This window comes from Homo sapiens, chromosome X, assembly GCF_000001405.40.
Source record: "Homo sapiens chromosome X, GRCh38.p14 Primary Assembly".
Classification (NCBI taxonomy): domain Eukaryota; kingdom Metazoa; phylum Chordata; class Mammalia; order Primates; family Hominidae; genus Homo; species Homo sapiens.
In genome coordinates, this window is record NC_000023.11 from 153478852 (window position 1) to 153491183 (window position 12332).

At 63.7% G+C, this 12332-nt stretch overlaps 1 protein-coding gene and 1 pseudogene across 4 annotated transcripts in view, besides 1 other annotated feature; one reads left to right on the plus strand and one right to left on the minus strand.

The window, feature by feature from the left end:
* HAUS7 (HAUS augmin like complex subunit 7) overlaps positions 1-12332 on the minus strand; it is a 47798-nt gene that overhangs the window by 31184 nt on the left and 4282 nt on the right. The gene's annotated exons all lie outside the window — the stretch shown is intronic.
* ECMXP (extracellular matrix protein X-linked, pseudogene) lies at positions 415-8210 on the plus strand (annotated as a pseudogene). The gene is made up of 9 exons (NR_169597.1): positions 415-535; positions 1729-2154; positions 2510-2797; positions 2959-3074; positions 3476-3608; positions 3865-4229; positions 4454-4672; positions 6919-7245; positions 7779-8210. The product of NR_169597.1 is annotated as an extracellular matrix protein X-linked, pseudogene (transcript).
* Positions 9568-10382: an enhancer, noted in NCBI's record as "H3K4me1 hESC enhancer chrX:152753877-152754691 (GRCh37/hg19 assembly coordinates)". NCBI's record gives its function as "activates a minimal SCP1, AML or CMV promoter by ChIP-STARR-seq in primed H9 embryonic stem cells {active_cell/tissue: H9 hESC(primed)}" and the evidence as "EXISTENCE:reporter gene assay evidence [ECO:0000049][PMID:30033119]".

Genomic DNA, 12332 nt, shown 5'->3' on the forward strand with positions numbered 1-12332 from the left:
CAGGGCCCAGCAGCCTGCGGTGGCCGACCCGCTCTGTGGTGGGCCTCTCAGGCCTGCCACGTGTGAGACAGAAGCCCCATTCATGGAGGCCACTGGGCCAGAGCCAGCGGAGAATCAATGCGGGCCTCACAGCAAAAGGGCAGGACCGTCCGGTCTGAGGAAAGGGCAATCTGTCTTTCTCTTCAGGTGGGAGCAGTGCACGTTGTGGGGAGTTGGGGGCAAGGTCGGGGGAGGCGTTTGCTCGACAGAAGGGGGGCCTTCCCAGGGAAGGGCTGGGGTGGGCAGGGAAGACTCCAAGTGCCGCAGCCAGGGCCAGGAGCTCAGGGAGCAAGACCAACTTGTGCCGTCCGCCATCGTCCTGCCGTGGCCACCACCGTGCCTCTCCCAGCTCTCCTTCCCTCCATGGCAGCCAAGAGGAGTGTGCTGCTCCCCATCCTGGCACTGTGGGCGGGGAGCTGCTCAGGAGGGGCCCCACCAACCCCCATGGGCTTGGCTACCCTGCAGCTGCTGCCCAGCCCACCAGGGGCCCCCGACGGTGAGTAGCTGGCACCAGCAGGAAGAAGACTGCCGCAGGCTGTCCACCTCAGGCCCACTTTGGGTACTCAGGCAGGGCTGCAAAGGGCCCATGGCCCTGAGAGAGCCCTCCCTGGAGGGCGAGGGGTGTGCGCAGACTCTAGGGGCGAGGGAGGGAAGAGGCCTTCCTAGGAGCGGGCGCTACAGTGAGGCTGAGAGCGGGCTGGGGTGTGCTGGGGAGGAGTTGCTCTGGCTGCCCCAGTGCCTCCTGAGACAGGAAGAATCTCAGGTGGCTGGGAGTATAGGGCTTGGGGGTGAAGTGGGGTTGCTGGCAGAGAGGGGCTTGAGGGGCCCGAGGACATGGGCTATGAGTGTGGCCTTTGTCTTATAGGCCAGTGGTTGTAGCCACACTTGGTGGCCCTGCCCCAGGCTTGGGGGTAGGGCGGGAGGGGCCAGGTGGGTGGGTCTGCCCCTCACCCCTGCAGACAGAGCGGTGCCCCCCATGGTTGGCCCTGGTTAAGGAGGAGCTGCTCCATAGAGGACAGGAGGCATTGGGGTTATCAACATTCCTCCAAAGTGGCTCACAGACCCCTTGAGGTGGCCCCTGGGCTTGCCTAATCCCCAACAAACCCCCTGTAGCAGACACTGGGGCTTTCACTTCTAAAAGCAAATTGTGCCAGGTCGCAGCGACCCCTTCATCTCCCCAGAAGCTGTCCCTAGGAAGCACGTGTGAAGTCCTTGCTCACTAATGGGTATGGGGCAAAGGGGATGCTGGGGAAACGCCCTACCCCCCACCCTTGGGACACACTGGGGAAGTGAGGGGAGGTGGGACCCAAGGTCCCTTGAGCAGCCCAAGGCTTTCTACCCAGGGCTGCTGAAGCTCCCTGGGCCCAACCACCGGTCCAACCCCTGGGCCTAACCTATAGGCCCAGCCCCTTAGCCCTAATGGGCCTAGAGCGCCACCCACCCCCCTCCCCAGCAGTGAGGAGCTGTGTAAGTTCTGAGAGGTACTCTGGGTTACTGGCCCCAGGGGCTGGTGGCCTGCTGCTGACGGTGGGGACACTCTGTTCTCTCGCCAGTGCTCCTCAGGAGGTAAGGGAAAGGCGGGGCGGGGGGAGGCCTGGGTAAAGAGGAAGGGCGATGGGCTTTCTAGCAGCTGACAGCCCCTTGGGGAAAGGAGGCAAGGCCCCCAGCCCACACTGGCTCCTTCCGCAGGTCAGCTGCAGCCCATCCCTGGCATCGGCCACCCAGACAAGCCTGAGGCTGGGAAGCTGGACCAGTTGCGGGATCAGCCCACCCCGAAGCAGGGAGCTCAAGGAACCCCCACCCAGTCCCCCTCCACTGGCTGGAAAGCGCTTCCCAGGCCAGGGCTGGCCCTGAGGAAGGAGTCACCCCCAGTGACCTTGGAGCAGGAGCAGGGTCACAACAAGGGCCTGGTCGCTGAGTGGGCTCAGCCCCAGGCCACAGCTGCCATGAGGGCTGGGGCAGGGAAGCCCGAGGCCTTGAAGCTGAGGCCCTGGCAGGCCGGCAGGGACCCTCAAGCTCAAGAGGGGGCAGCAGTCACCGAGGAGGACCAGGGCCAGAGGACAGGAGGCCGGGAAGACAAGGGAAGGGGCCTGAAACCCAGGAGGCCCCCCAAAGGTGAGAACTGGCCAGGACAGGCGGCCTTCAGGTGGGGCCTGGGGCCTGCTGGGGCTGACAGGACCACGCATGAGTTTGGCCACCCAGGCACTGCCCCGTTCCCGGTGTTTCCAAGCCAAGTGCCCTCGTGTGTGGGGTGGGAGGGAAGCCCTCCAAAGTCACGTCCCCTCCCCAGCCTCAGAGCCCCCATTTGGGCCTTTGCCCTTGGTGCCAAGGGGAGGGGTCCCAGTAACCTGTCGCTCCAACCCAGGCTGGCTGAGTCACTGGCAGGCCCTGGGAGCCTCGGGCAAGCCCCTGTTCCTCAGTAGGGCCCCTGTTGCTTGTGACCCAGCAGGGGCTGTCTCTCTTCCTCCAGGGACCTCCCATCAACCTGGGCTGAGGATCCGGCGCCCACAGAAGGACCGCAGCCGAGGCCAGGGTGGCGGCGGCAGCACCTCCAAGACCCCAGGCCATGGGTGGAAAAGACCAGGAAGCACACATGGGCACAGGCACAGGCACGCAGACCTGGGCACCACCCAGCAGGCCATGCCCTCTCTGCCGGCCTCGTGCCTCCTGGCCCAGGCAGTCATCGCCTGTGGCAATGTCAAGATGAAGCATGTCCCTGCCCTGACCCACCCTGGTCTGACCACACTCTACCTGGCAGGTGGGTGGCCTCCTCGCCCCACACCCACCCCTGCAGCAGGGGTGAGAAGGCTGAGACCTGGGCTCCCACCCTGGCTCCCCTGAGCAGCCCTGTCTGGTGTGGGAGGTACAGAGTGGCAGCGGGCAGGGGGCAGAGAATATGGCTGCCCCATGTGCGCACAGAGAATGAAATTGCCAAGATCCCAGCCCACACGTTCCTGGGGCTGCCCAACCTGGAGTGGCTGGATCTCAGCAAGAACAAGCTGGATCCCCGAGGCCTGCACCCCCATGCCTTCAAGGTATGCTGTGGCCCATTCACCTCTTCTCGGGGGCCGGGGCTGGGGCTGGGGCTGGCAGGTCCCAGGTGACCTGAGGCATCCACTCACTGCAGGGTGGAGCTGCTTAGGGGGTAAGGCCTGGAGGAGGCACTGCAGAGAGCAGCCAGCATGGTGGGCTTCCACAATTTGGTGTGACGTGTTCCATCGCTGGGAGTAGGGGGAGCAGCACAGGCTTGCAGGCCCTGTATAGGAGCAAACAGAAACCTTCCCAGACAGGCCTGGATTCAGTGGGAACTAGGAAGCCATGATGCCACCAACAGAGTGCCCTTGGTCAGGATGGGCCCAAAGCCATGCCCAGGAAGGCCTGTGCCCCGACCAGCAGGCCCCCAACCCCAGCCCACCTATTCCCCATGACCTCCCAGAATCTGATGCGGCTGAAGCGGCTGAACCTGGTTGGGAACTCGCTGACCACAGTCCCGGCCCTACCTGCCTCCCTGCAGGAGCTCAAACTCAACGACAACCTCCTGCAGGGCTTGCAAGGCAGCAGCTTCCGTGGTGCGGGCGAGTTCCGGGGGCAGGGACCGAGGGGGCAGGCCTGGGCAGGTGCCCCACCCCCAGGACAGGGGCTGGCAAGGGGTGGGTCTGCCCTCTAGGAGGCACACTCGGGAGAGTGCCCAGGGCAGCCTGGCTGGAACGCAGAGGAGACTGCCAGCCTGGGTAAGGGGCCCTGGCCTCTAGGGGCAGGCAGGGGTTCTAGAGCTACTGCGAGCAGCTCTGCAATGGCTCACCGCACCCCTCTGCCCGCCTGCAGGGCTCAGCCAGCTGTTGACGCTGGAGGTGGAAGGGAACCAGCTGCGTGACAGGGACATCTCCCCCTGGCCTTCCAGCCCCTCTGCAGCCTGCTCTATCTGAGGCTGGACCGGAACCGGCTGCGGGCCATCCCACGCGGCCTGCCGTCCTCCCTGCAGTTGAGCTGGAGCCCCCAGGATGGGGAGGCAACATTGTTACCATCAAACAACCCTGCCTCTGCTTCTGCTGAGGGGGCGTGGAGCAGCCCATAGGGGGATCTGTGCGCTGAAACTCACGAGGCTTCAGGCCTCTCCTCAGCTTGACCTAACCTTCCAGAAGCCCACAGTGGGACCTCCTGGATGGCTCTGCACCCTCTGGGTTCTCTGAGTAAGGCCCATACCCTCTCTCTGGACCATACAGTCCCCTGAAAATCCACCCCTGCCATGGGCCTGACTGCTCAGGGCAGAGACTGGCACCTGAGTTGCACAGACATGGCTGGGTGGAAGGAGGCAGTGCCGGCAGAGAATGGGCACAGCCAGAGTTGGAGCCTGACCAGGTGGCCAACAACTGGCAGGTGGGCCCCTCACCCCAACCCCTGACCCCGACCCTAGGAGCTGCACCTGGGCACCAACCTCATCGAGGAGGTGGCGGAGGGCGCACTGAGCCACATCCACAGCCTCAGCGTGCTGGTGCTCAGCCACAACTGGCTTCAGGAGCACTGGCTGGCACCCCGAGCCTGGATTCATCTCCCGTGAGTGGCAGTCCCAGAGCTTCGCCCCAATGGGCATTCGGAGGCAGAGAGCAAGGATGGCCCAGAGCAGCCCCGAGAGGCAGGTGGGGAAGGCGGAGAGGGCAATGCTGAGCCACGGAGCCCCAGAGAGGGCCAGGAGGCAGGGGGCTCCAGGGGAGGACTTGTTCCTTGGGCCTGGTCTTCGGTGGGTCACTGGGGTCACCTCCCTCCCTGCTTAGGTTAGCCTGGGCCCTCAGTCACCACAGACTCTTCCAAGATATTGCTTGCAAGCTTGCAAGGCCTTCCCTCTGTCCCTCCCACCCAGCAGAATCCCCTTTGCCCTCCCGTGCCTAGGCCTGCCCTGCCGGCCCCCAGGAAGCTCACCTGGGAGGTGCCACGGGCCTGGATGGAGGGCAGCAGTGGTGGGGAGAGCTGGCCCGACGATGGGTGCAGTTAGGAGGTGACAGGGGCAGGAAGCAGCGCGGAAGGGCTGGGGGCACAGGAAAGTGGGGAAGAGAAGTGCATGCATGTCCTGGGGCTGCCATCACTGAGTGCCACAAGCTGGGTGGCTTCAAACAACAGAAATAACCTCTCTCAGTTGCAGACGCCAGAAGTCTGCAATCTAGATGTTAGGGGGCCGTGCTCCCTCCGGAGGCCTAGGATGGGATCCTTCCTGCCTCTCCCAGCTTCAGGGGGCTCCAGGTGTTCCTGGGCTTGTGGCTGCACGTGGCCGTCTCCCCTGCGTGTCTCCCTCTGTCTCGTCTTCTCTCTTCTGTCCCTCAAAAGCACACCTGTCATGGGAGCGGGGCCCAGCCGGGGAACCCAGATGAGCTCAGCTCGACATCCTCCCCTGCAATCCTTACATCTGCAAATAAGGCCACGTTCACAGGTTCTGGTGGACATAGGTTCTGGGGGCCACTCTTCACCTCATTCCAAGAAAAGTCAAGGGCAATTCCCTGGATCTGGTTGGGACAGCTAGGTAGAGATGCTGGCACACAGGCCACTCACGGCAACCAGATGCTGTAGGGCTGTAGGAGTCGGGCTAGGGAGTCAGGACACGGTCCTGGGAACAGCGGGGAGGGCTGGGGGAGGCTGGGTGCCAGGCGGGAGGCTGAGGAGGGCCTGATGACCACCAAGGCAGGGTGGGGCCGCAGTGGGGAGGGAGGCGGGGGTCGACAGACAGTCTGACCCGCCATTCCAGGGACCAGAGCCTCCCGCCCTGCATCCTTGCGTTCCAGGAAAAAGTTACCAGGACGTTTGGGTTTAATTATTCCTCTTTCCTCTCCCCCACTTGCCAAGGGGGCAAAGGAAAGCAGACAGCAGCCTGGGAGGGGCTGCCCGGCCGCTATTCCACTCCCGCCACGAGGCCTGGGCAGGGGGCTGGCGGCCAGTCAAGCCCCAGCTGCCTCAGCCGCGGCCTCTCCTGGACTCTGGCGCCACCCATCTCTTTTCGGGCTGGTGGAAAAGGAGGGGACCGAGAGGCACAGGAGCAGCCCAAAAGGCTGACCCTAGCCACGGGGGCTGAGGGTGTTGCCAAGAGAAGCCTTCCCTGCTCCCTCTCTCCATGTTCTTACCCATTCCAGAAGCCTCACCACCCTCTGCCCTTGCACACCTGCATGGCCACAGGGACCAGGGCTTCCTGCTGCTGGGGTCAGGGCCTCAAGGAGTCAGGTGTCCACCATGGAGCGACCGGGGGCTCCCAGCTGAAGGTGGCAGCCTGAACTCCACTATCGGACAGCGAGGGCTGGGTGACCTCCCAGGGTCCCCCAGCCCTAACCCTCATGGAGCCTGATCTTTTTCTCCCCACACATCTAGCTTCCACACATCTGAGGATAAGACTGGGAGAGGCAGGATGAGGGCAGGAGAGTGGAAGGGACAGAGGAGAGGGCTTCGAGGCCGAGGACCGGCAGGGGCAGAGAGCTCCCCTGCCCCACTTTTCCCCTAGATTTTAGGCGTCACCCTCTGAGCTCTGTCAGGTGTCAGGATTAGGAGACAGGAGACCCTGAGGCAACACCTGGAGGGAAGGAAGTGAGTGGGAGGACAGTTCCTCAGTCTCCACAATGACAGCAGGTATCGCTAGCCCTGCAGGGAGCAAGGAAGGCCCCCACCCAGATCCTCTAATCCCTAAGCCTTGGGGGACAGAGGAGGACATAAACCCACACAGGGCCTGGCCTGACTCACACAGGAGTTGCCAGAGTCCCAGCTGTTGAGAGTTCGGGTTGCGGCTGCCATCTCGGAGTGAATCCCCACGCTCGTCTTGGGAGTGTGGGGCTGCAGCCCCTGGAACTCCCCTCTAGGAGTTGCCAACCGTCAGCTCCCTCTGCCCCTGTGTGCCCCGCCCCACAGGAAGCTGGAGACCCTTGACCTGTCCTACAACCGGCTGGTGCACGTGCCCCGCTTCCTGCCGCGGGGCCTGAGGCGCCTGACGCTGCACCACGACCACATCGAGCGCATCCCTGGCTACGCGTTCGCGCACATGAAGCCAGGCCTAGAGTTCCTGCACCTGTCCCACAACAGGCTGCAGGCTGACGGCATCCACAGCGTGTCCTTCCTGGGCCTGCGCGCCTCGCTGGCGGAGCTGCTCCTGGATCATAACCAGGTGCAGGCCATCCCACGCGGCCTCCTGGGCCTCAAGGGACTGCAGGTGCTGGGCCTGAGCCACAACAGGATCAGGTAGGGCCCCCCTCCTCGACCCCACACCTGTGGCCGTCTCCACCCCCGCACCCTGCCAGCACACAGAGGAAGAGGTACCCTGAGGCCAGGAGGCCCTGCCTTCTGGCTGGGCTAGGACAGGCTGGCCTTTGGGCTCCTTACCCACAGGCCGCAGAGGCCGAGGGCAGGAGTCGGGGCTCATCCATCCTCCCCCAATCCAGCCATCCACCCATCTTGGTTGCCATGATGGAGGCTGTGCCCAGTGGCTGGCAGGCCTGGAAAGCCAAGGGCAGGCAGTGGCCGGATGCTGGCAGGGCTCCAGCCTGGAGCGACAAGGGCTGGGGCTGGAGGCCTGGCACTGAGCCTCGAGTTGGGAGGGGGCCAGGAGGCCGCAGTGGTCTCTGAAGCCCGCCATCACTCCTCCACAGTTCCGATTCTGTGGCTCGGTCTTACTGCTTCTCTCAGGGCAGGGGTCTCTGTCTCTTCTTGAATGATGCCTACCCCGTCTTTCCGGGGTCTTCTCTCCCCTGCTCTGCCCCACCCCTCCCTTGCAGACAAGTGCCCTTGAATTCCATCTGTGACATGCGCGTGGCTCAGGACTCCAACCTTACCTCCACACACCTGGAGAACAACCTCATTGACCGGCGCCGCATCCCGCCCACTGCCTTCTCCTGCACCCGAGCCTATCACAGCGTGGTCCTCCAGCCCCAGCGGCGGGGGGAGGAGGGCTCCTAGTCCTGCCTGCCGCCTTCCTCCAGCACACACTCTGCTTCTCGAGGGGGTGGAGGGGCAGGCTGAGGTGTGCTTGGCCTTTGCACCACTGGGAGAAAGGTCTAGAAGACCCCACTGCTTCCAGTGCACCCACTTCCCATTGACTGGTGAGGCCGCTTCACTTAGCAAATGGCCCAGGGGCGAAAGGTGGCACTGGTTTGTACTTGAACATAATAAATGCAGCTTGGGCAGGCTCACCAGCCAGCCTCCCTCCCTCCAGGAGCTACGCTGCATGTCCTGGCTCTCCCATGTCCGTGCGGTTCCTGGGCTGCACCTGAGACTGTCAGCAAAGAGATTCAGAGGGCTTGGGTCCCACAGCTTCTCTGAGAGCCTCCCCACCCCCACCCTGCCTCACCAGGGTCCTGAAGTCCTTGCTCGGTCCCAAGCCATCAAGAGGCCAGGCTCCCCACCCTTGCTTGGGGCAGCATCTGCACCTGATCCGTCTCATCCCTATCCTGGGCCTGGACCCAAAGAGGTGGGCTTGGCTGGCAGAGCAGGAGGGTGTGGAGGTTCAGGGCACCTGCCATTGGTCCTAGAGCCACCCACACCTGCACTGAGGCCTGGGGCAGGGGCTGGTGACCACCGCACAGTGGCACCTCTCGGGAAGCCCCTTTGCCTCTCCCTTGACACCTCCCCCCCATTCCTGGCCCCAGAACCCTCATCCCAGCCCCCAACATGCACACCCACCTGCAAGAGAGGTCCCCAGGGCCCCACCCTCAGCTCACAGATGAGTAACTTGCCCAGAGATGTATGGCTGGCTTGCTGTGAGACCAGGCTGTGCCCCTATCTGACCTGGTGCCAGGGAAGGGTGGGGAGTGAGCACGTGGTCTGTGCAAAGCCAAGCCCCGCCCTGAGCACTGGGCAAGGACCACCCCTGGCCAGAGTTTCTGACTGTCTGCCTGAGCGAGGCCGGCCCTCCATGTTGACCTCCCCATGTGCCAGGAGTCCCTGGGAAGTGACAACTCAGCCCTGCCGAGCCCTGAAGACAGACTGGCCAGATATGCTGGTGGAGACACTGGGTCTGCGGAGCCCTCGAAGGCCACTGAGGCCATTGCCCCGTTGGCCTGCCTGAGTGAGGGGGCCCCTGGGAACCGGATGGGTTTCCTGGGACAGCCTCCACAGCTCTCTAGGCCACCAGGCCCTGTGCCAGGAAGGGATAGGGACAAAGGGTCACAACCGCAGGGAACACGACAGCCACTGCCCTGGGATGGGGCTCACAGAGACAGCCAGGTGACAGGCATGAAGGATGCCGCAGGAGAGGGCCCAGCAGAGACACAGCCCAGCCCCAAGGAGCGCATGGCTCCGTCCCTGTCCTCTGTCCCTCTAACTTGTGAGCCTCCAGCATGCCCCTCTGGCCCTCGCTATCCCACCCCATCACCTCAGCACCCCCATCTCGATCTGGGCACGGCCTTCCCATTCCCCGGCCTTTCTCTACCCTGGCGGGGCCGCCCCTCTCCTTCCCCTCTGCCTCCGGGCTGCTGGATGTGGGTGGAGCAGAGGAGGAAGGGCACAGGGTGTCCGCTGCAAGGACCTCGCCCCGCCATCAGCTCTGCCTAGGACCGGGGCCTGGGAACTGAGTCTCGCCTTGCTCCCATTCCATGGCCGATTCCCCCTACCCCTGCCCCCACCCCTGAGTTCTCAGTGGAGAAAGCGCCAGACTGTGGCGGGGGCGGGAGAGGCCTGGGAAGCTGTGGGCTGTTTGCTTTGGACTCGTCCCGGCATTCCTTCTCCTCCAGCTGGCCCCTCAGATATGGCACTTCCTGTTTGGGCTGGGTCAGAGGTCAGCAGCCCACGAGGCGCTGGCCCCACTCTCCCAGCTCTCACGACCCCTCCTCCCTGCCTGGCCGCCCCGGTCCCTGCGCCTCTTGCTCAGGTCACCCTGCAGCCCCCACCTTCTCGCAGTCCCAGAGGTCAGGCCCGGGAGGCACAGGAAGTGCAGGCTGGGTGAGTCCCCGACATCTCCTGCCCACTTCTTACCACTGCCCGACAGATGAGGCAGGTGGGGAGGAGAAGGGGAGGGGCCCCTCAGCTGCAGGAGGGCAGGGGCCAGGCAGGCCACCCACAGGTGGTTAATTCCACTTCTCAGAGCCTCGGCGGGGGCTAATCCTCCTGTGACCTTCCCAACTGGGGAGGCAGGGGACTCGCACTTGGGAAATGTACCTGCGGGCTCTTGGGGTCGTCACCTGGCCAAGGGAGAAGCTGGGCTGCAGCCGACCCCACAGGCCCGGCCAGGCCTCAGCCAACCTGCACTCCGAGATGGGGCAAAGGGACTGGGCCTTTATTTCCCCCTCATGACTGGGACAAGGGTGCTGTTTCCAGCCCAGGGGATTCCCCAGAGGGCCAGGAGCTCAGGGCTGGGGACTTCACTTCTTGGGGCTGTGGGAGGGCTGGTCAGAGTCTAGCTGGCACCACGAGGGAATCTCTAGACAGAGCCCCAGCCCGAGAGCAAGGGCAGCCCAGCCGTGGCCCTGCACCTGCCCCTCCTTCAGCACGGGCCACGCTCCGACACCCACTCACTCCCACCTTCTCTGTGATTACTGTGCTCCTCCTCTTCGGGGTGGCTGCTGGCTCCATCTGAGGGTACAGCAGTGGGTGCAGCCAATCGGTGACCCCAAAATGCTGGGCATCTGAGGGGACATTGCAGTGACAATTGCAATAGTGATGGCAACAGGATAGGTGTGACTAGGGTCAGAAGGGAGGCACTCATCAGTCCTCAGATGGGGATGGGGATGCTGAGGTGATGGGGTGGGACTGAGAGTAAGGACAGTGGGGACAGCTCACAATTCAGAAGGGTGGAGAATGGGGGCAAGGAGCCGTGCCCTCCCTGGGGCTGGGCCTGTGTCTCCGGCCTGAGACCTGGGTGGGACCTTGCACCTCTGCTCCGCCTCTGCCAGCTGCAGTCCCAGAAAACTGCCCATCAGCTTCCAAATTCTTCTCCAACTGCCCCTCACTGGCCCCCCACGGGCCCACCCCTCGCCTTCGCCACATTCTGTTCTGAGCCCTCCCTCCAGCCTAACACCCCCGTTCACAAGCATCTCGCCTACTGTGCCACCCTCCACCCCCTACCCCCATAATAGCTGCCACCATGGCCACACGGGGACAGTCTGGGAGATGCTAAGCTGTCTGGCCCTCAGGCCAGGTGCTATCCCACCCCATCTTCTGAGCATCTGGGCCAAAGATTGCTCCGAGCTGAAGTCAGGGCTCGGGACAGGGCCCAGCCCCTTCCCACTCCCACCAGAGCCTCCTGGTGCTGCTCCTGGGCTCTGGCCTCTGGCCTCCCTGAGGGAAGACCACAGGGGTCCTAGGGTGCCCCTGGCCTCTGGCTCCCGGACTTCGGCTTCCAAGGCAACCCATCTTCCATCCTCTGGCCACGCCCCAGACCATGCCTCTCTAAAGATAGCTAGACGCAGGCCAGGCCTCCCCGGAGCCCCCACGCAGGCCCTGAAATTACAGCCCTGGTGGCCCGGAGGGGAGAGATGCTGTGTGATTATGTCCTCAGAGGAAGGTCAAAAAAAGCTCCTGGCATGGAGAGTGCCAGCTTTCACCAGCCACACCTCGGCCATCCAGCACTGGGAAGCTTCCAGAGAGTGGAGGCTCCGCTCACTCAGCACCAGCTCAGCTGCCCCAGGGCATGTTGGCACAAGCCTCCTCCATAACCGCCCCACCCCCTGAACCCAGAGGTCCCCGCTGAGCATGAGCTTCATGCCGCTTCGAGGCCGCAGGTCATCCAGAGACCCTTGAGTGGTGATGGGGTTGCCCACTGGTGTCTGCCCCCGAGGGTGCCGACACTGGGAATGGACGAAGCCCACAGGCTCGGAGTGAGGCCCACTCAAGGCCATAAACTTGGGGCCGCTCTTGCTCAAGAGGTAACCTCGATGTGTGAGTGACAGGTCCCTGGATGGGAATTTGCCCTGGAAGCTGAGGCTCTGCAAGAGCTACTCCCCAATGACAGGCGGCCTCAGGGCACTGCCTCCTCCTCTAGAAGCTCTCCCTGCCCCCCAGTCTTGTACGGGCACATAGCACTTGTCACCTCCTTGCTTCTTGAGGGTCTTGCTGATGGTCCAGGGGGTGGGAGTGCTGCCTGTCTGCCTCGCCCACTGCAGCTCTCTGTCCCAGCTCTGTCGGCTCTCCCTCTGTCTCTCCGTCCCATCCCCAAGACAGGCATGGGCCCTTCTGTTCACACCATCAGAATGGAAGGGTGGGGAGGTTCGTGTCCAGGCAGAAGGGTTCGAGAAGCAGCCACCCACAGAGAAGAGGGCCCACTGGACACACTTGGGGAGCAGGGCAGAGGGAGCCCGGGGCCCAGTTCTTGTTTCCAGACCCTGGAGAATCATGGA